The sequence below is a fragment of the Homo sapiens genome, chromosome 10 (assembly GCF_000001405.40).
Source record: "Homo sapiens chromosome 10, GRCh38.p14 Primary Assembly".
NCBI classification, from domain to species: domain Eukaryota; kingdom Metazoa; phylum Chordata; class Mammalia; order Primates; family Hominidae; genus Homo; species Homo sapiens.
The window spans coordinates 102731998-102752820 of record NC_000010.11 but is presented as its reverse complement, the minus strand read 5'-3'; the positions used below and the strand labels follow the sequence as shown (position 1 = coordinate 102752820).

The 20823-nt window shown below is 47.2% G+C and overlaps 2 protein-coding genes across 14 annotated transcripts in view, besides 3 other annotated features; both read right to left on the bottom strand.

Annotated features, from left to right (window-relative positions):
• The window catches only part of WBP1L (WW domain binding protein 1 like), a 72315-nt gene extending 63442 nt beyond the window's left edge, over nt 1-8873 (bottom strand). Inside the window, exon 1 of the mRNA NM_001083913.2 lies at nt 8678-8873. Coding sequence (NP_001077382.1) covers nt 8678-8767 — 90 coding nt within the window. The 5' untranslated portion in view covers nt 8768-8873. The remainder of the gene's footprint in view (nt 1-8677) is intronic.
• Nucleotides 8007-8236: an enhancer, noted in NCBI's record as "active region_3949". NCBI's record gives its function as "activates an Ori minimal core promoter by ATAC-STARR-seq in GM12878 lymphoblastoid cells {active_cell/tissue: GM12878}" and the evidence as "EXISTENCE:reporter gene assay evidence [ECO:0000049][PMID:35858748]".
• Nucleotides 8737-8896: a silencer, noted in NCBI's record as "silent region_2773". NCBI's record gives its function as "represses an Ori minimal core promoter by ATAC-STARR-seq in GM12878 lymphoblastoid cells {active_cell/tissue: GM12878}" and the evidence as "EXISTENCE:reporter gene assay evidence [ECO:0000049][PMID:35858748]".
• Nucleotides 9177-9226: an enhancer, noted in NCBI's record as "active region_3948". NCBI's record gives its function as "activates an Ori minimal core promoter by ATAC-STARR-seq in GM12878 lymphoblastoid cells {active_cell/tissue: GM12878}" and the evidence as "EXISTENCE:reporter gene assay evidence [ECO:0000049][PMID:35858748]".
• SFXN2 (sideroflexin 2) overlaps nt 9329-20823 on the bottom strand; it is a 28857-nt gene continuing 17362 nt past the window's right edge. For 9 of the 13 annotated variants that reach the window (XM_047424568.1, XM_011539261.3, XM_047424569.1 and 6 more), the window contains 5 exons: nt 20603-20669; nt 19913-19962; nt 19218-19267; nt 16912-16959; nt 9329-15158 (listed from right to left, as the gene is read on the bottom strand). In XM_047424568.1, coding sequence (XP_047280524.1) covers nt 15059-15158; nt 16912-16959; nt 19218-19267; nt 19913-19962; nt 20603-20669 — 315 coding nt within the window. In that variant the 3' untranslated portion in view covers nt 9329-15058. Of the gene's footprint in view, nt 15159-16911; nt 16960-19212; nt 19268-19912; nt 19963-20602; nt 20670-20823 lie in introns of those variants that run through there. The other 4 variants (XR_007061941.1, XR_007061942.1, NR_146992.2 and 1 more) reach the window with 3 other exon arrangements.

Here is a 20823-nt window from a genome sequence, read left to right as displayed (position 1 = left end):
TTCTCTTGTGACAGACCCTGAGAACACCTAATGATTTCCACAGGCTAAGCGTGCGTGAGAGCAAACCAACATTCCTGAGGCCGAAAATCAGAGTAGAGCCAGGACTTGGAATGGGGAAAGGAAAAAGTTCTAAGAACATGACTCAGTTCAGATTGGTTGCAGGACTATGGAGGACACAGAAAATAACTGACCATCAGGCTTTCACTGGGAGCAAAGCAAATCATGTTCTTAAAATAAAACCACAGAGCAGATCAAAGCAAGAGGAAAGAAAGTTCAAGATGGGGTAAATAAGGGAGGCTCACCTGCTTACTGAATCACAAATCAAAAAAACGTGTTTTCAAAATGTTTGATGTTGGCTGACAAGACAGAGCTGACTGACCACATACATCAACAAACCTGAAAGGCAGTGAGATTCGGCATATCAAAGCTTCAAGTCCCACCGAAAACTCGCTGTCCAAGGTTATTTCATACACTTCACAATGCTATGTTGTTCTTGCAAGAAAGCTGACCCCAAGCTCTGCAATAATGAACAGGACCTGGTAAGGCCACAGCAGGTCCCACTAAGCCAGGATTTCTCCACCTCGGGACCACTGACATTCTGGGCTGGAAAAGTCTTTGTCGTGGGGGGCTGTCCTGAGCATTCCAGGATGCTAAGCAGCATCCCTGGCCTCCACTCACTAGATACCAGTGGCACTCCCAAGCTGTGACAGTGACTAATGTCCTCTGGAAGGACAAAATTCTCCCCAAACCTAAATTCAGACATAGAACAGAATAAAGAAAGTCACTTGCAAAATCTCCAGATCTCAGTTCCTGAAGTTAGTCTGGGAGTTGACACTAACTTACAAACCATAATACACTCTGAGGACTGCCAACAGCAATAATGGTGATAATTATTATTATACTTATTAATCATTGAATATATTCCAAGAGCTTTACATATATTATGTCTTTTCACCTCATGACAACCCCATACTAGTACAATTCCCATTTTATAGATGAGGAAGCTGAGGCACAAAGAGGTTATGTAACTTGCTCAAGGACAGTATCAAATTTGGAACTCAGGTGGTCTGACCCCAGAGCTCATGACATGACCACTAGGTTTGACTGTACCAAATCCCTACTCTGGAAAGTTGTTAGATCAGTATCCTCCAATATGTAGTCACTATCTACATACAGCTATTTAGTTTAAATTATTTTAAGTAAATATCACATTGGCCAGGTGTGGTGGCTCACACCTGTAATCCCAACACTTTGAGAGGCCAAGGCGAGCAGATCGCTTGTGCCCAGGAGTTCAAGACCAGCCTGGCCAACGTGGTGAAACTCCATCTCTACAAAAAATACAAAAATTAACTGGGTGTGGGTGCGCACCTGTAGCTCCAGCTACTAGGAGGGCTGAGATAGGAGGTTTGCTTGAGGTGGAGATTGCAGTGAGCTGAGATTGCACCACTGCACTTCAGCCTGGGCAACAGAGGGAGATCGTGTCTCAAAAAAAAAAAAAGGAAAGAAAAAAGAAAACCTTGATTGGGCGCAGTGGCACACACCTGTAATCTCAGCACTTTGGGAGGCCAAGTCGGGCAGATCGCCTGAGGTCAGGAGTTCGAGAACAGCCTGGCCAACATGGCAAAACCCCATCTCTACTAAAAAATACAAAAGTTAGCTAGGCATGGTGGTGCATACCTGTAGTCCCAGCTACTCAGGAGGCTGAGACAGGAGAATCACTTGAACCCAGGAGGCAGAGGTTGCAGTGAGCCAAGATCACACCACTGCACTCCAGCCTGGGTGACAGAGTGAGACTCTGTCTCAAAAAAAGAAAGGAAAACCTTATGGTAAGTGAAATAAGCCACAAAAGACCACATAGTGTACCATTCACTTTATATGAAATGTCTAGAACAGGCAAATCCATAGGAATGGCAAGTAGATCAGTGGTCACTAAGGGATGGAAGAAAAGGGGCTAGAAAGGGAAGTGACTGCTAATGGCTATGGGGTTTCTTTCTGGGGTAAAGAAAATATGCTAAAATTGGGCCGGGCGTGGTGGCTCACACCTGTAATTCTAGAACTTTGGGAGGCTGAGGCGGGCGGATCACAAGGTCAGGAGATCGAGACCATCCTGGCTAACACAGTGAAACCCCATCTGTACTAAAAATACAAAAAATTAGCCAGGTGTGGTGGTGGGCACCTGTAGTCCCAGCTACTCAGGAGGCTGAGGCAGGAGAAGCGCTTGAACTCTGGAGGCGGAGTTTGCACTCCAACCTGGGCGACGGAGCAAGACACCGTTTCAAAAGAAAAAAAAAAAGAAAATATGCTAAAATTAGCACTGATAGTCACAAATTCTGTGACTATACTGAAACACCAATTTATGTATACTTTAAAAGGGTGAATTTTTTTGGCATGTAAATTACCTCAATAAAGTTTTTTTTTCTTTTTTTGAGACAGGGTCTCACTCTATCGCCCAGACTGGAGTGCAGTGGCGTGATCTAGGCTCGCTGCAGCCTCTGCCTATGGGGCTCAAGCGATTCTCCTGCCTCAGCCTCCTGAGTAGCTGGGATTACAGGTGCACGCTAATTTTTCTATTTTTGGTAGAGATGAGGTTTCACCATGTTGGCCACGCTGGTCTAGAACTCCTGACCTCAAATGATCCACCCGCCTCAGCCTCCCAAAGTGCTGGGATTACAGGTGTGAACCACTGCGCCTGACCTGATTATATCTCAATAAAGTTGATATAAAAAATTAAATATGGGCAGCCAGGCGTGGTCGCTAACGCCTGTAATCCCAACACTTTGAGAGGCCAAGGCGGGCAGATCATCTGAGGTCAGGAGTTCGAGACCAGCCTGGCCAACATGGTGAAACCCCGTATCTACAAAAAAAATACAAAAAAAATTACCCAGGCATGGTGGCAGTGCTTGTAATCCCAGCTATTTGGGAGGCTGAGGCATGAGAATCCCTTGAACCCGGGAGTCAGAGGTGGCAGTGAGCCAAGACTGCACCATTGCACTCCAGCCTGGGCAACAAGAATGAAACTCCATCTCAAAAAATAAATAAATAAATAAATAAATATGGAGGGCCAGGAACAGTGGCTCACGCCTGCAATCCCAGCACTTTGGGAGGCTGAGGCAGGAAAATCACTTGAGCCAAGGAGTTCAAGACCAGACTGGGCAATATAGTGAGACTTCTGCTCTATAAAAAAATTTTTTTAATTAAAAAAAATTAGGCCAGGCATGGTGGCTCACGCCTGTAATCCAAACACTTTGGGAGGCCAAGGTGGAAGGATCACTTGAGCCCAAGGAGTTCTAGACCCACCTGGGCAACATGGTGAGACACTCATCTCTACTTAAAAAAAAATTTTTTTTATTAGAGAGAAAAAAAAAAGAAAAAAAATTAAATATAGGGCCAGGTGTGGTGGCATGCACCAACAATCCTAGCTCCTTGGGAGGCTGAGGCAGAAGGATCGCTTGAGCCCAGGAGTTCAAAGCTGCAGTGAGCTACGACTACACCACTGCATTCCAGCGACAGAAACCCTATGGGCAACAGAGCAAGATTCTGTCTCTAAAAAATAAAAATATGTAAATAAACAAATATGTTTCAAAATTAAATATGTTTCAAAATTCAGTTCCTCAGTTATCCTAGCCACATTTCAAATGCTCAGCAGCCACCTGGCTAAGTGGCTACTGAATTGGACGGCACAGAGAGAGATCATTTCCAGCATCACAGAAGGTTCTACTGGATGGTGCAGCCTTAGATGAATGGATGAAAGGCCTCCTGACCATGTGACAACAGCCTCTCTTTCGAGCCTCCCCCACTTCCACACTCCTCTACACATCCACACACAAAGCTTCTGCCACAGAGTACATGTCACCTCCAAACACACTCTCCATTTTCATTCTTCCACACTGGAATCCATTTTTCCCCTTCCTGGTCCATACTCTACCCATGCTTATCAACCTTTAAAGTCCTGAACAAATGCTTTTTCCTTAATGAAGTTCTTCTTAGCACCCCATCTTCCTCTTGCCCTAGCAGAATCAGTTGTGCTGACAGTCCTTTGTTTGTACTTCCATTTCAGCAAAACCTCTGGATTACAATTCACTGTGTGCGCTATCTGTCCTTGCCACAAGATTTCCAGCTCCTGGGGAACAGGGATTCCATACTCATTTGATGGTTCCCAGGGCCTAGCAATAATAGCCTGCTGCAAAGAGTAGACATTTCAGTAAATGTCCATTCTTTGATGCCTACTGAATTCCACTGAAAGAGTTTGCAGAAACTCAAGGTGCTGATTTTACACTTTGGTACATCAAACGCACTAAGCAGGTGAGGTAAAAGGGATTAGAATCTGGAAGTCTCGAATCCCACTATTGTATAAGGAGGAATGATGGTGATGGCATTGAAATACCATTTGTAAGAAAGGAGAATGGAGTAGGGCTTCCAGACTGAAAACTGGGAATGGAGGTGAGTAAAGGTAAGGTGGGAACCAAAGGGTATACCATTGAGGGTGAGGTGGGAAAAAATAGCAGGAACTGAGGCCCCCATCCAGCTCAAAGTTTTTTTTTGTTTGTTTGGTTTTTTTTTTTTGAGACGGAGTCTCGCTCTGTTGCCCAGGCTGGAGAGTGCAGTGGCGCGACCTCGGCTCACTGCAAGCTCCGCCTCCCAGGTTCACGCCATTCTCCTGCCTCAGCCTCCCGAGTAGCTGGGACTACAGGTGCCCACCACCATGCCCAGCTAATTTTTTGTATTTTTAGTAGAGACGGGGTTTCACTGTGTTAGCCAGGATGGTCTCAATCTCCTGATCTCGTGATCCGCCTGCCTCGGCCTCCCAAAGTGCTGGGATTACAGGTGTGAGCCACCGTGCCAGGCCCAGCTCAAAGTTTTAAGCCTGGCAAAGGAAAGGTAAGGACTGCATCTCTAGAGATTTGTCCCTAAACCACTGGCTGAGTTACCCTATTAAAAAAAGACATTTCTACCAAAACTTTGTTTTAAATAACATAGTCAAATATTCTGTTTAGGCTGGGCAGAGTGGCTCATGCCTGTAATCCCAACACTCTGGGAGGCTGAGATGGGCAGATCGCTTGAGCCCAGGAGTTTGCGACCGGCCTGGGCAACATGGCGAAACCCCATCTCTACAGAAAAATACAAAAATTAGCAGGGCGTGGTGGCATGCACCTGTAGTCCCAGTTACTCAGGAGGCTGAGGTGGGAGGCTCGTTTGAGCCTGGGAGGTCGAGGCTGCAGTGATCCAAGATCACATCACACCACTACACTCCAGCCTGGGCAACAGAGTGAGATCCTGTCTCAAAAACAAAACAAAAACAACAACAACAAAAACAAACATTCTGGTTAAATCTAAACAACCAAAAGAAACTCTATGTATCTCAATGATAATTTAACTGGAGGAAACAAACGCCAAGGCTGTCGGAGCCTTACTATTTGGAGCATCTACTGTTTTCTCATTCTTTTTTTTTTTTTTTTTTTTTTGAGACGGAGTCTCGCTCTGTCACCAGGCTAGAGTGCAGTGGCATGATCTTGGCTCACCACAACCTCTACCTCCCACGTTCAAGCGATTCTTCTGCCTCAGCCTCCCGAGTAGCTGAGACTACAGGTGTGCCACCATGCCTGGCTAATTTTTGTATTTTTAGTAGAGACAGGGTTTCACCATGTTGGCCAGAATGGTCTTGATCTCCTGACCTTGTGATCTGCCTGCCTTGGCCTCCCAAAGTGCTGGGATTACAGGGGTGAGCCACCATGCCCAGCCTTTTTCATTCTTTATAGATTTAAGGATTCACGTCTGTGAGTTGTAATGTCATAACCTGTAGGAGAGTTAAGTCTAAGTTCCTAACCACAGAATGAACTAGCTGATGAACTTTCCAGGGCCTGCCTGCATAAACAAGAAATGGCTGTTTCAGTGCAGAGCTGGTAACAGGGAAAGCAAGTTGCCTAGTATCATTTATTTCTGATGGTAAATGTGTATGTAAAAAAAAGATTGTGCATGTAAAAAAAAGATTGTATTGTAAGTAGATCAATTTTGTGGGAGAAATGCAATAAGGTACCAATACCATTATTCGATACAGAATGAGTATAGTAAGTCCTCCTGAATTCAAAGTTAGCTGGACTTCATTGTTGAATTAAGGACCATGGGTACTTAAAGTATGCCCTGTGCCAAAATGGCCTTGGGATTTTTTTTTCCTTACTGATTTGTACAAGCAACCCCTTCCCCCACCCCCCCCAAAAAAACCCAAAAAAATACACTGACTAAATTGCGGTGGATTCAGAGTTAATAATTATATAGTAACTTGCATTCCGAAGGTTAAAATTCAAAACAGAAATCTCACTATAGATATCTAGTACTCCCAGACAGAAAGAGACAGGAGTATAAGGTGGGGGATGGAATTGTATAGGGAGCGTCAGGAGTGAGGGTATGTGGGGGCTGGTTAGGAAGAGGGCCACTGCTCATTACGAAAACTTTCCCTTCTCTGCAGGAATTGTAACCGTGTAACAGCTGTTGGTCAGTGATAGCATTCATCCAAATGGAACAAAGTACAAAAGACACCTGTCCCCAAAATTAAGTATTAGAAGTGCCACAGATATAAGAAAGCAGCCTGTGGTTTGCAAACTGCAATTAGAATATAACATTAACAATCCCCTTCCACATGTTCACAACACCTCCCAGGCTCCACGACCTGGTAGGAACCTCCACTTTCCATCATCCCCGTTGCTGAAAAAGTGGATCTAGTTCCTATCTTTGACCAGCCCATCTCCAAAGGCTCTGACATTCCTAAACCAAACCTCTACCGATGTTATTTATTGGTTACTGGGGACAGCCTTTTCGAGATACTTACAGAAACAGACATGTGCAAAGGAAAAGTAAATTCTGTATTTACTATATTCTATATTTTGTTGTCAATACCTATACTTAACTTTACTGGTCCTGAGGGCTATAACATTTCTAGTAAACAAAAAAAATATATTTCTTCTGCCAGTTTATGATTTCCACTGGAAAAACAACCCCAACAAAGGCTAAAACAGAAGGGTCCCAACCCTCGAAAAGGGAATACACTGGGCTAGAAAATGAGCTACATTCCTTTCACATGGTATTTCTAGTATACACAAACATATCCTGAGGAAAAATTAGACACTTCAATGCATAAATAAATTGTGGTTTACAGATAACAGAATGTTACTTGGTCATGAACAGGAATGAAGTACTAGTACATGCTACGATGTGGATGGGCCTTATAAACATTACGCTAAGTGAAAGGAGCCAGGCACAAAGACCACATATTGTAGGATCCCGTTTATATAAAATATCCAGAATAGATAAATCCATAGAGACTGAAAGCAGACGGGTGGTTGCCAGGGGCTGGGGGAAAAGGGAGACAGAGAGTAACTGCTTAGTAGGGACGAGGTTTTCTATTGGGGTGATGAAAATGTTTTGGAACTAGATAGAGGTGGTAGTTGCACAACATTGTAAGTGTACTAAATGCCACTGAATTGTTCACTTTAAAATGGTTTTTGTCATGTGAATTTCAACTTATTTTTTAATCAGTATTTTAAAATAGAGGATAATGGGCAAAACAAGATGTATTTGTGAAAAGGCAGCCCTAAAACTCCTAGGGAAAAGATAAGTATTTTTGCTGGCACTCAGTTTCTGCTCTTGTTCACAACACAAGTTCAAGCGCTAAGTTGTATAAACTTTGCCACTACGCTATGCGTCTATGTGTGTATGCCTTTCTGAAAAAACGGGGAAAAGAACAGAAAGTGAAGAAAAAAGAATCATAAAGCTTTGCCACATGCAAGGAAGGAGGGGTGATTGCCCCCACTGCACCCCACCCAACTTGGCACCAGGAGTAACGCTCCCATTAGGGTTTTGAAATGCCAGCTGGAGCTGGAATCAGCACAAGCAAGCTTCTCTGCCTGGATAAAGAGCAAGCCACCCAGCAAGAAAAGCTAGGGTGCTCCATTTGCTGCCCATATTGGCATCAGAACCACCCTCTGGTCAAAAGCCCTGAGCTGGCTCAGATCAGCATCCGTGACTTGCTCTCCCAGGCCAGCCAGCCTAACAGCAAGAGCTTGTTACAGCTCAAGTGTGCTCCTCCTCCTGAGGGGTTCCACTCTGTTTCATCCCACCTGCCTTCTGAGAGTCCTCCCTCCAACCAAGTGCGCCATGGCTTACAGATTTTAAAATGGGGCCAAGTCTCTCCCAGGAACATAGTAATTTTTTTTAAACGTACTAAGATGCCCTCGGAACTTTCCCCAGTCCATCCTTAAAGAAATATCCTCAGGATCCCCTCCCTCACAGGCCAACTCAATAGCCTGTGTACCCCTACACACACAGACGTACATACTGCATTACTGCCTGGGACACCTGCTCCACAGAGGGACACGAATAAGGCCCACATCCTCAGCTTGGCACCGCTATCCAGCCACAGTCACCCCAGCCCACCTAACCAACCTGCCGTCTCAAACGCCCCTCACTCGCTTGGCATCATGCCTCTGCCACCTCCTTGACACCAAAACTGTCACAGGTGTCCCTCAGCTAAATACCGACGCCCCTTTAGATCCTGTCCACGCCAGGCATAGACGCCCCTCTCGGGACCCCTCAACTCTTGGCAACAACACTCCTTCAGACCCCTCCAGCCAGGCCTCGACGACCCCCAGGACCCAACATGGCCCAGACGCCCCCTCCCCCTTACCTGCGGGGGTTCAGCCCTGGCTGACAAGGGGCTGGGCAGCGCCTGGAGGAGCAGGAGCGCCATGCCACCCAGGAGCCTTCTCCTCTCCATCCCCCTCCTGCTCCTGCTCCTCCGCCACGGCGCCGCCACCTCCCTCCTCCTCCTCCCTCTCCTCCTCTACCCTCTTCTTCCTTCTTCCCTTCTTTTCCTGTTTGACGCTCCCCTCCCGCTTCCGGCTCTGCTCCACCCCGCCCCGCGCAAAACACCCTCCCAGACACGCGAGAGACTCTCCAGTTCCAGCGCTTCATTGGCCTTTGCCCTTTGTCCATTGATCAATGTAGCTGTCGATCAAATATAAGTCCCGCCTTCCCCTGAAGACGAAGCGATGCAGCCAATAAAAAGTAGGAGGAAGCCGGACCATCTTGAATGCTGCGAAGAAGTGTAAAATTCGTCCCAACCCGCAGAGAGTGGCGGAAGCAGCTTCATAAGGGGGCGGGGCCACCCAGGTGGATGGAAAAGTCTATTTCTGATGTAGCCATCTTGAGTGTGGCGGAAGTACTAGTTTTCCAGTTTTCCACATCAAAAAAAGAAAAAAGGTTTAATGTTTCTCAAGGGTGTTGGAAAATAAATTATTCCTGAAAGGTAACCAGGCGCTCCTGAAGAGGAAAACAATTGCAATGTAAAAATATTTTAATGTCTTTTGTCTTGAAGCACAGCACTATTACCAGGATGCCTCTCTTGGTCTCAACTGCCCAAATAGCAGCTTAGGTCCGTTTGAATTCCCTAGAAGATAGTACCTTTATCTGAGGCATAGTGCTTCGTCACCCCAAGTTCGACGGACAAAATTCTGGTTCTACTTCACAAATTGCTCTGAAATCCATCATCCATTGCTTCAATCCATGTTCTTCTAGCTAAATACAAATGGCTTCCCTGCTGCCCTGCAAGTTGACAATTCTTCCTCTCAAATTTCCGCCACACACTACAACCATACCACATTAAACCAAATATTACTATATCATGGCCTCTTCTTTTAAATACTTCATCTACCTACAGAATAGAGAGTCCAAACTTCCCAACACGGTCCTCTCTGTGACTTCGTCCCTGTCTACTTCTCTTTATCTCACCTCTCACCACTACATTTTCCCACACATTCCACTCACACTGACCATTGAAGAGATGCCCAGTAACTTCATTTACATATTACAGATACAGTTCCCTGCTTACAAACTCCTAGCCCCATCTCCTTGCTGCTTCTTCTGGATTCTTGTAACACTTATATCTGCGTGCCTGGTTTGCAGTTTTTTGTACAGCATACCAGGTCTTTCTTCTTCTTCTTTTAAAGCCTATAATATCCTGTACAAGGCTCAACCAGAGCTTGATCAATGTTGGTAAAATAGCCAGGTGTGGTGGCTCATGCTTATAATCCTAGCCCTTTGGGAGGCTGAGGCAGGTAGATCCCTTGAGCTCAGGAGTTTGAAACCAGCCTGGGCAACATGGAGAGAACCCTGTCTCTACAAAAATAAAAAAACTAAATTAGCCAAATTAGCCAAGCATGGTGGTGCACACTTGTAGTCCCAGCTACTTGGGAGGCTGAGGTGGGACAATCACCAGAGCTAGGGAGATTGAAGCTGCAATGAGCCTTGATTGTGCCACTGTACTCCAGCCTGGGCAACAGAGTGAGACCCTGTCTCAAAAAAAAAAAAAGGCCAGGTGCGGTGGCTCCTGCCTGTAATCCCAGCACTTTGGGAGGCCGAGGTGGGCGGATCACATGGTCAGGAGTTCGAGCCTGGCCAACATTGTGAAACCCAATCTCTACTAAAAATACAAAAAATTAGCCAGGCGTGGTGGTGCATGCCTGTAGTCCCAGCTACTCAGGAGGCTAAAGCAGAAGAATCGCTTGAACCTGGGAGGCAGAGGTTGCAGTGAGCCAAGACTGTGCCACTGCACTCCACCCTAGGTGACAGAGTGAGACTCTGTCTCAAAAAAAAAAGAAAAAAAAAAGTTGGTAAAATAAATGGACAAAGGAAGACCCATGGCAAATAACACAGTTGACTTTAGCAGTCAATTTCCTCTCAAAAACCTGTCAAAGTGTTTTACAGCCTGGCCCAGTCTAGCCCACATCTGAGCCCAGAGGAAGTTGTTCTTGGCTTAAGTGTTGGAAAAATGGGAAACAGGTAAGAGTTAAGTCAGTCTTCCCTCAGCTTAAGAAAGTCCATAGTTCTGCCTTTATCTTGATCCTGCTTTTCCAAGTACTATAAAAAGTGACACGTATTTTTGCCAATCTCTCGTTTCTTAGAAATTTATCCATTCCACAAGTCAAGCTCCTTAGAGGAGAAGTAAAAATTGAGTACTAGGGAAGGACCAAATTATTTTCATGGCACAAGGTCTCTAATTCCTGGCCTCAAAAAGTTGTAAGTCTTCCACATAAAGGCTAGGTTTCATCATCACTAAGAAACCCCAGGTGGGATGTAGTGGCTCACGCCTGTAATCCCAACACTTTGGGAGGCCAAGGCATGAGGATTGCTTGAGGTCAGGGGTTCAAGACCAACCTGGGAAACATAGTGAGGCCCTCTGTCTACAAAAAATTTAAAAATTAGCTGGGCATGGTGGCATGTACCTGTAGTCAGGAAACCTTTAGGATTCTGGTTCTAGCCAGGATTGAGGAAAAGACCTTGGATCAAAAGGAAGCTTCTATACCTCTTCTTCTTCCCTTCCTCCTCCTCTCCCGAGCAATGGAACCTTTTACCCATGCTATTCTAGCCGAACTCAGGAAAAAGAAGCTACTCGGGAGGCTAAGGCAGGAGGATCACTTGAGTCCAGGAGGCTGAGGAAGCAATGAGTCATGATCATACCATTGCACTCCAGCCTGGGCAAGAAAGTGATACCCTCTTTCTCTCAATAAATAAGAAACCCCAATTCAGTTTGGCAAACACAGGGGATTTTGCCCCAACTTCCCTTTCTCCTTTTACCTGAAAGCTCAAGCTGAGCTATTGGATAGGACAGTCTGGATTAGCACTTCCCACACCAAGGCCTTTTAGTAACCTTAACTGCCTCTTATTCAACATCCCACAGCAGCCAACTCAAAGAAGAGAGATGTTACAAAATGAGACTGAGATGCAGTTTGAGTGACCACTTTTTAGAATGTCCCTGAACATTATAGCCACCACATACCTTCCAGACATTTCCAAAAGAGCAGTTGTCTATAAGAGAACAGGAAATCCAAGAGGCTTGAGGAGCTGAGAAGGAAGGGGAAACATTGTATGTTCTGAAAGAACATCAGTCAGGAGTTGTTTCCAAGCTCTACTGGCTCTGGTAATGTTTCCCTTTTCCTATTTGCTTTTGGAAATAAAGCCAGGTCTCCTGTCCTAAAGAAGCTAGCTCAAAGACAGACTTTTCTGTTCAGACACCAGCTAAAATCAAATTGCATATGCTACAACATGGATGAACCTTGAAAACATTATCCTAAGGAAAGAAACCAGACACAGAGGGCCACATACTGCATTACTCCACTTACATGAAATGTTCAGAATACGCAAATCTCTAAAGACAGGAAGTGAATTGTGAGGCGCTGGCAGGTAGGGAGAATGTGGAGTGACTGCCAATGGGTATGGGGTTTCTTTTGGGGCTAAGAAAAATGTTCTGAGACCAGATGCAGTGGCTCATGTGTGTAATTCCAACACTTTGGAAGGCTGAGGGAGGAGGATCACTTGAGGCCATGAGTTCGAGACCAGCCTGGGGCAACATAGTGAGACCTCATCAAAAAAATCAAATTAGCCTGTGGTCCCAGCTACCCCAGAGGCTGAGGCAGGAGGATTACTTGAGCTCAGGAGGTTGAGGCTGCAATGAGCAGTGATTGCACTACTGCACTCCAACCAGGGTAACAGAGTGAGATCCTGTCTCAAAATAATTCTGGAATTAGTGGTGATGCTTGTACAACTTTGTGACTACATTAAAAACCACTGAATTGTACACTTTAAAAGGACTAAGTTTATGGTATGTGAGTTATATTTTAACTTTTTTAAACGGGGAGAAAAATCAAGTTGCAGTGAATTCCTTGGCCTCGGGGAGGAGGCCCTTTCCCCTTAGAGCAGTGCTCCTCCACGTATGGTGCCAAGACCAACAGAATCAGCATCACCGGGCAATGACTAGAAATGCACGTTCTCAGGCTCCAGCCCAGAGTGACAGAATCTGGCAATGGATCCTGCAATCTGTGCTTTAACAAGCCTGCCAGCTAATTCTGATGTGTTTTCTTTTTTTTTTTTGAGACGGAGTCGCCCAGGTTGGAGTGCAGTGGCGCAATCTTGGCTCACCACAACCTCCACCTCCCAGGTTCAAGTGATTCTCCAGTCTCAGCCCCCCGAGTAGCTGGGATTACAGGTGTATGCCACCACACCCAGCAAATTTTTTGTATTTTTAGTAGAGATCGGGTTTCACCATGTTGATCAGGCTGGTCTCGAACTCCTGACCTCAGGTGATCCACCTGCCTCGGCCTCCCAAAGTGTGGGGATTACAGGCATGAGCCACTGCGCCCGGTTGATGCATGTGCTTAAGAACCACTGCTCCAGGGCAGGGGAAACTTTTTGTGTCAAGGATCAGACAGTAAATATTTTAGGCTTTGTATGCCACATAGGTAGGGTCTCTGTCATTCCTGTTGTTCCCTTTTACAACTCTTTAAAAATGTAAAAACATTCTTAGCTTCCAATTGCACAAAAACAGGTGGCAGGTGGATTTGGCCCCTTGAGCCATAGCTTGCCAACTCTTGCTCTAGGGCAACACAGCTCCCATTCTGGGAGATCTGGAGCTTCCTGTGGAGACAGGTGGATTTCCCCTTTAATGAGGGAAATAAACAACAGCCTCCAGGCATCAGACAAGTTCCCCTTATATAGTAGTTGTGATACCTTCTGACATGCCAAGGCCAAAGTAAGGCCAGATCCTGCTTTCCATTCAGGCTTCATTAACTTAGTTTACAGTTTGTGTGTATGTGTGCCTGTGTGCTCTTTCAACAAATTTATTCAATTCACAGTGATATCTGTTGGACAGAGTCAGCAATCCTACCAGACAAAACTCATACACACATTGATTCCAGATGAGAAACAACAGTCCCCCAAGGAGCTTGAGAAATCACCTAGGGCAGCCAAGCTGGGGAAGGGAAGTGGCTGTGCATTGCTGTGTGTCCTTTAAGGCTCTTTGGTCCTGGTTGATTTCCTCTTAGAAGGTTCCAAATAAAACTTCCCTTTCCTATTCAGTACACACCAGTCTTTCTTTGGTGTTTAACCTAATGGGCTGAGGAAGGGAGGCAGCCAGGAAATTATACCCATTAAAGTGTGTGGTTAATGCCTATATATATCATTTTTACTCACAGTTAGTGGACTTATCTTTTAAAACAGAGGTATGTGGCAGTGGGGTAAGAGAACTTCCCTTATTATAGAGAAGATTCCAAGAATAGGTTCAGACATGATTTGAAGAACCATGTAACTCTGCTGCCTTGCACGGTCCCCTTTTTAGCACTAATAACTCCTAAGTGTCTGATAATTTCAAGGTTAGCAGCACTCCCAAAGAAGCTGTCCGGGCTGGGTGTGGTGGCTCATGCCTGTAATCCCAGCAATTTCAGAGGCTGAGGCGGGCGGATCACCTGAGGTCAGGAGTTCGAGACCAGTCTGGCCAGCATGGTGAAACCCCGTCTCCACTAAAATACAAAAATTAGCCAGGCGTGGTGGCAGGTGCCCTGTAATCCCAGCTACTTGAGAGGCTGAGGCAGGAGAATCGCTTGAATCCAGGAGGCAGAGTTTGCAGTGAGCCGAGATCGCGCCACTGCATTCCAGCCTGGGCGACAGAGCAAGACTCCATCTTGAAAAAAAAAAAAAAGAAGCTGCCTGACCAGGGGGCAACGAGGAGGAGGATGTGGAAGGGTGATGAGCCCCAAGGGGACAGAGTCCTTTCCCCCTTCTTTTTCCTGAGTTCAGCTAGAATTACATGGGTAAAAGTTTCCATTGCTTGGGAGAGGAGGAAGCGAAGAAGAAAGAGGTATAGAAGCTTCCTTTTGATCCAAGGTCTTTTCCTCAACCCTGGCTGGAACCAGAATCCTAAAGGTTTCCTAACTTTTCCAAATGATTTGCTTGGATGTCTCCTCCCTGAGAGGGCCTCAGCTTCTGGTCTCCAGGGGACAGGGGTTGAGGAAGCAGCTAGAAGACATTGGCCTTTGCTACCCTTTTTCACTTTTTTCCCCTGAGGTCCAATCAACCAGTACCAGGGTGTAAGTATGAGGCATTCATTGTCCCACCCCCCAATCTACCCTGGCCTTCAGGCCTTGTTGGCAAAGGGGAAGGAGGACACAAGTGTGCACGTAGCTAAGGAGGAGCTGGTGAATATGGGAATAGACTGGTCCTTGCTGAAGTGGGGCATTTAGAGACCCTTATTGAAGTAGACATAAGGCTCAAGTTCTCCATACTTGGCCTTGATAGTGTCTTGGAGCTTCGGTTCCAGATAGGAAACTGGCAATTCACTGAAAAGAGAGAAGTGGATTATGAGCATGCCACCAGGAACAAGCAGTAAGTTACCCTCAGATGAATATCACCTCCAAGAAGCCCTCCTGATTTTTCCATCTAGGATTATTATTGGCCTCTGTATACCACAATGTTGCTTTACCATTACGCAGGCCTGACTTCATTCTCCTTGGGCTATGGTTCTTCGTTTCAACTTCCATCTTCTCCACAAGATTACAAACACAGTGCTTGGGACACAAGAGATGTCTAGCAGATGACCATGGAAGTAGTATTGAACTAGAGTACTGAGGAAGGGGAGACTGGAATTGTCTGGGTATATATTCAAGCTACACTTGTCTCCTGGGGTCAGTCACCCTCCACCCCCTAGTCTGATGTATCCCTTCCCTTTTCCATCATCCCTTCTCCCTGCTTCCTCCTTCTTGGACACACAAAGGAAATAGAGGGGTTTCGGTTGTCAGCCCTCTGCCTGTCCCTTTATTTATTTATTTATTTATTTACTTATTTATTGAGATGGAGTTTCACTCTTGTTGCCCAGGCTGGAGTGCAGTGGTGCAATCTCGGCTCACCGCAACCTCCACTTCCCAGGTTCAAGCAATTCTCCTGCTTCAGCTTCCCAAGTAGCTGGGATTACAGGCATGCACCACCACACCCAGATAATTTTGTATTTTTAGTAGAGACGGGGTTTCTCCATGTTGGTCAGGCTGGTCTTGAACTCTCGACCTCAGGTGATCTGCCCACCTCGGCCTCCCAAAGTGCTGGGGTTACAGGCGTGAGCCACCACGACCAGCCCCCTTATTTAATGTTAACGACCAACGGGGAACGGTGGCTCACGCCTGTAATCCCAATACTTTGGGAGGCTGAGGCGGGCAGATCACCTGAGGTCAGGATTTCAAGACCAACCATGGCCAACATGGTGAAACCCCATCTCTACTAAAAATACAAAATGAGGCCAGGCGCGGTGGCTCACGCCTGTAGTGCCAGCACTTTGGGAGGCTGAGGCGGGCGGATCACAAGGTGAGGAGATTGAGACCATCCTGGCCAACATGGTGAAACCCCGTCTCTACTAAAAATACAAAAATTAGCTGTGCGTGGTGGCACGTGCCTATAATCCCAGCTACTCGTGAGGCTGAGGCAGGAGAATCGTTCAGGGAGTCGGAGGTTGCAGTGAGCCGAGACTGCACCTCTGCACCCCAGCCTGGCGACGGAGTGAAACTCCATCTCAAAAAAAAAAAAAAAAATGAGCTGGGCATGGTGGCAGGCACCTGTAATCCCAGCTACTCTGGAGGCTGAGGCAGGAGAATCACTTGAACTGGGAGGCGGAGGCTGTGGTGAGCCGAGATCGTGCCACTGCACTCCAGCCTAGACAACAAGAGTGAAACTCCATCTCAAAAAAAAGAAAAAAAAAAAAGTTAAAAACCAGATCCAGCCAGAGGAGAGCTTCCTAATAACCCAGCTGGCAGGAAGAGAAAGTCTGTTGTTGCTCCCCCACCTTCTCTTCAAGGCAGTGCTTGCTCCACTGGGAGGGAGCAACCTTATTCCTGTCCCTGGCTTCTCCTGCCCCTCGCAGATCTGTTTTCGTTTGTCAGAATTCACCAGGGTTAAGAGGCCCAGCCTTTAGGCTGATGGACACTTGTCCTCAGACAGGTGCTGCCCTTCCTGCCCCTTCCCTGTCTCCTTCTGGACAGCAGGCAGATCAGGGAGCGCGCTGGCAGCATGGTCAATTAAACCAAGTAAGGAATGAACAGCAGATACCATTTCTGTGGGAAAAGCCCACACGCCACTGGCACCATGAAGATGAGGCTGCAAGAAAGGAGAAACCAAAGCATCAGGGGACATCTCCCCACAGGCCCGTCCATCCCCCATCCCCAAGGGAAAGGAGCAATGCCCAGGCACCTGGCCTGCCTTCCCAGCTGGCACCATATCCTCTCCCTCCAACCCTCCTCCTGTTCCCGCAGTGCGAGGATACTCATTCTGGCAGGGGGATAAAACCAGTACCCTCCTGACCCCCATCACTCATTCCCACCCTTACTGCATTGTTCAAGCAGAGGAAGAAGACAATGAAGTAAACAGGGACTGTGAGCAGCAGGCCTAAGGAGCACAGGCACTGCTGGCATCGAGCGAAAGGAGCGACGAGGAGGGAGAGGAGAAACTTGGAGGGGGAGGAGCAACATGGAGGGGGAAGAGCGACATGGAGGGGAGGAGCATCATGGAGGGAGAGGAGGGACATGGAGGGGGAGGAGCGACATGGAGGGACAGGAGCAACTTGGAGGAACAGCATGGAGGGTGGGGAGCGACTTGGAGAGGGAAGAATGACTTGGAGGTTGAGGAGCAACTTGGATGGGGAGGAGCGACTTGAAGGGGGAGGAGTGACTTGGAGGGAAGGAACTACTTGGAGTAGGAAGAACTACTTGGACAGGGAGGAGCAACATGGAGAGGGAGAAGGACATGGAGGGGAGGAGCAACATGGAGAGGGAGGAAGGACACAGAGGGGAGGAGGGATGAGGAGGGAGAGGAGCAACTTGGAGGGGGAGGATTGACTTGTATCGGGAGGAGTGACCAGGATGGGGAGGGGCACTTTGGAGTGGGGGAGGGGCACTATGGAGGGGGAGGAGTGAGTCTGTGGATTCTGAGACCTGCTTCTTTATTGGTTGAACACCTGGGCTGTCAGAGCACAGTGAAAGGCAGTTTCTCCAGCTTCACTGTGCATATAACTTCAGGAGCTTATTAAAATGCCAGGTGCCAACTGAGGGGGTCTGGGGAAGGACTTCAGAGTCTTTACTTCTAACAAGTTATCAGAGGATGCCAACGATGCTGGCATGGACCAGGGTTTGGGAGGCAAGGTCTTACAGGACGCGGGACTCTGACAGACCTGGGTTGGTATCCCAGTTTTACCACTTACTAGCTGTGCCATCTTGGACAAGTTACCTCAGAGACACAGAGGGAGGACAACCTACTTTTTAGGGCTACTGCAGACCACTTTGCAGTGCCTACTTTGCAGGGTTACTGTGAGGATTCAATGAGATATGTATGTAAAGCACCCAGCCCATGGTAACTACTCAATTAGCAGAAGTTGGTATAGCATAATGTTAGACTGTTGATCAAATCTCAGCTCCAGCAGTTACCAGCTATATACCCTTGGGCAAGTTTCTTACTCTGTCTAAGTCTCAGTTTCTTCATTTGTAAAAGGAGATGATAATAATATGTAGATTTCTAAGGCTGGGAGAATTAAGTGAAATTATAGATATGAAACACTGGGTTCAGTGGGGACACAGAGAAAATATACAGTCAGTGTTAGCTGTTAGTGATGCTGTCATTAGTCTCGTGGCCCTGAAATGCATGGTGAACGCTAGGACATCTCCAGTTAATGGCAGATACCTAAGAACCCTGACGTGACTGGTGGCATTTCCCTCCTGTGTGAGTCTGGGACACATGACAGTCCCAGCCAAAGCTATGTCTCCTCGTTCTTATCTCTTCTGTAAAACTGCTCCAGACAGCCAGGCGCAGTGGCTCATGCCTATAATCCCAGCAATTTGGGAGGCCGAGGCAGGTGGATCACTTGAGGTCAGGAGTTCGAGACCAGCCTGGCCAACATGATGAAATACAAAAATTAGCAAGGCATCATGGTGCGTGCCTGTAATCCCAGCTACTCAGGAGGCTGAGGCAGGAGCATTGCTTGAACCTGGGAGGTGGAGGTTGCAGCGAGCTGAGGCTGCGCCATTGCACTCCAGACTGGGCGACAGAGCGAGACTCCATCTCAAAAAAAAAAAAGCAAAAAACAAAAAAATTGCTCCAGACTTAAGGTCAAAGGAGAGACCCTGGGATGGGAGGGCACCTCAGCACTGGACTTCCTACATGGACACGTGCATAAAGTCTAGCCAGCCTGATGCCCTCACAAAAGATGGGGTGAGAGCTTTCCAGATGGACCACAGGTATTCTGAGCTTGACCACTTTTAAAGTCAGGTAAAGGAGTACACGTTCTCCAACACGGGCTAGACAAGACGACACATCTTGAGTGCTCCAGCCACGCAGAACCCAAATCATCAAAATATGATACTTACAAGCACCCGCTCAGCATGACCTGCAATGGGGCGTGCAGGACCTTGACTTTCTGTATAAAAACAAATAAAAGACAGATCCACATGGTACTTCTATGCCTTAAGGTGAACCCCAACCCTGCTCTGCCATGGATCAGCCAGCTAGAAAAGCCCACAGGTGGCTGGGCGCAGTGGCTCATGCCTGTAATCCCAGCACTTTGGGAGACCGAGATGGGCAGATCACAAGGTCAGGAGATCGAGACCATCCTGGCTAACACAGTGAAAACCCGTCTCTACTAAAAATACAAAAAAAATAGCTGGGCGTGGTGGCAGGCACCTGTAGTCCCAGCTGCTCGGGAGGCTGAGGCAGGAGAATGGCATGAACCCAGGAAGCGGAGCTTGCAGTGAGCCAAGATCGCGCCACTGCACTCCAGCCTGGGCGACAGAGCGAGACTCCATCTCAAAAGAAAAAAGAAAAACCCACAGGCAAGGACCCCCTGGCCCTTAAAGAAGGCCTTGTTCTCTGCAGACCAGGTAAGGAAACTGGCCATGGTATATCTAAACAGGAGGTCAGTGGAGATTGGTGTGGGCTTGAGTGAGATGACAGCATGGTAGCTAAAGGGAAGGATGGGTGGGGGAGGGCAGGTCAGGTATCCCTAGGGACAGATGTGGCTGGACGCACTCTGGGCAGGGAAAATGCCAAAGCAAACCCTACATACCTGCATGAAGTGCAATTTCTCAAGCCTTTCCATGATGACTGGCAGCAAGACTGGAAGAGACCAGGGAGAAGCTGAGGGGAGGGCTGGGAGGCTCTCCCCAGGACTCCTTCTGAAGTCAGACCAGGAACCAAGTGGTTCCCTCTCCTTCAGCAGAAGCTCCAGAAAATACTTACCACTAGGCAGAACAGAAGAGCAAGTAGGCATGACCACCCCCAAACTTTCTCCCCAAAGTCCTGGCAGAACAGTGCTTCCCAAGCTTCTCAACCTGCACACTTGCAATATCAGGAAAACATGTGCTGCTAGGTCCAAAGCTACCTTCTCAAAACTCAAAAATGTATTTGTACGTTCGTGCAAACAAATTTTGCAATACACCCACTGCTGGAAGCAAACCAAAGCAGGGAATTTATTTTCTCTATCACTCTCCCTAGCACCCCACACTGTGTCTAACATTAAACACAAGGGCTTGACAAGTATTAATAAAATGAAAATAACTTTCTACCCCAAACCTTGGATGAACTGATGTTCTAGGAACTAGTGTGGTTCTTCTAGGCTTACAGCAATCAAGCAAAGCAGTTTGAGAAGCATGGCTGTAGAAGGTGGGCCCCACCTCCCACCCAAAAGCTGAGTGTGGCTGAGACCTCCACCCTGTGTCACAGGCTTCCCCAGGATGGAAGGGCTTCCCCATCTTACTCATCCCAGGAGCTGACATGGTGATCCGAGAAATAACTACTTGGGTGATGCCTATGGCCGCAGCTCTCTGAGGGCAGAAAATAGTAAGTTGTCAGAAATGATGTATCCAGTGTACATGTGCTGCACCAGGGGGCTGGGTCAGCATCATGGCCAAGTCTGAGATGGTAAAGGGGAAGGGAAGGACCCTCCAGTTGCTGAGTGACCTCACTTTATCCCCTCCC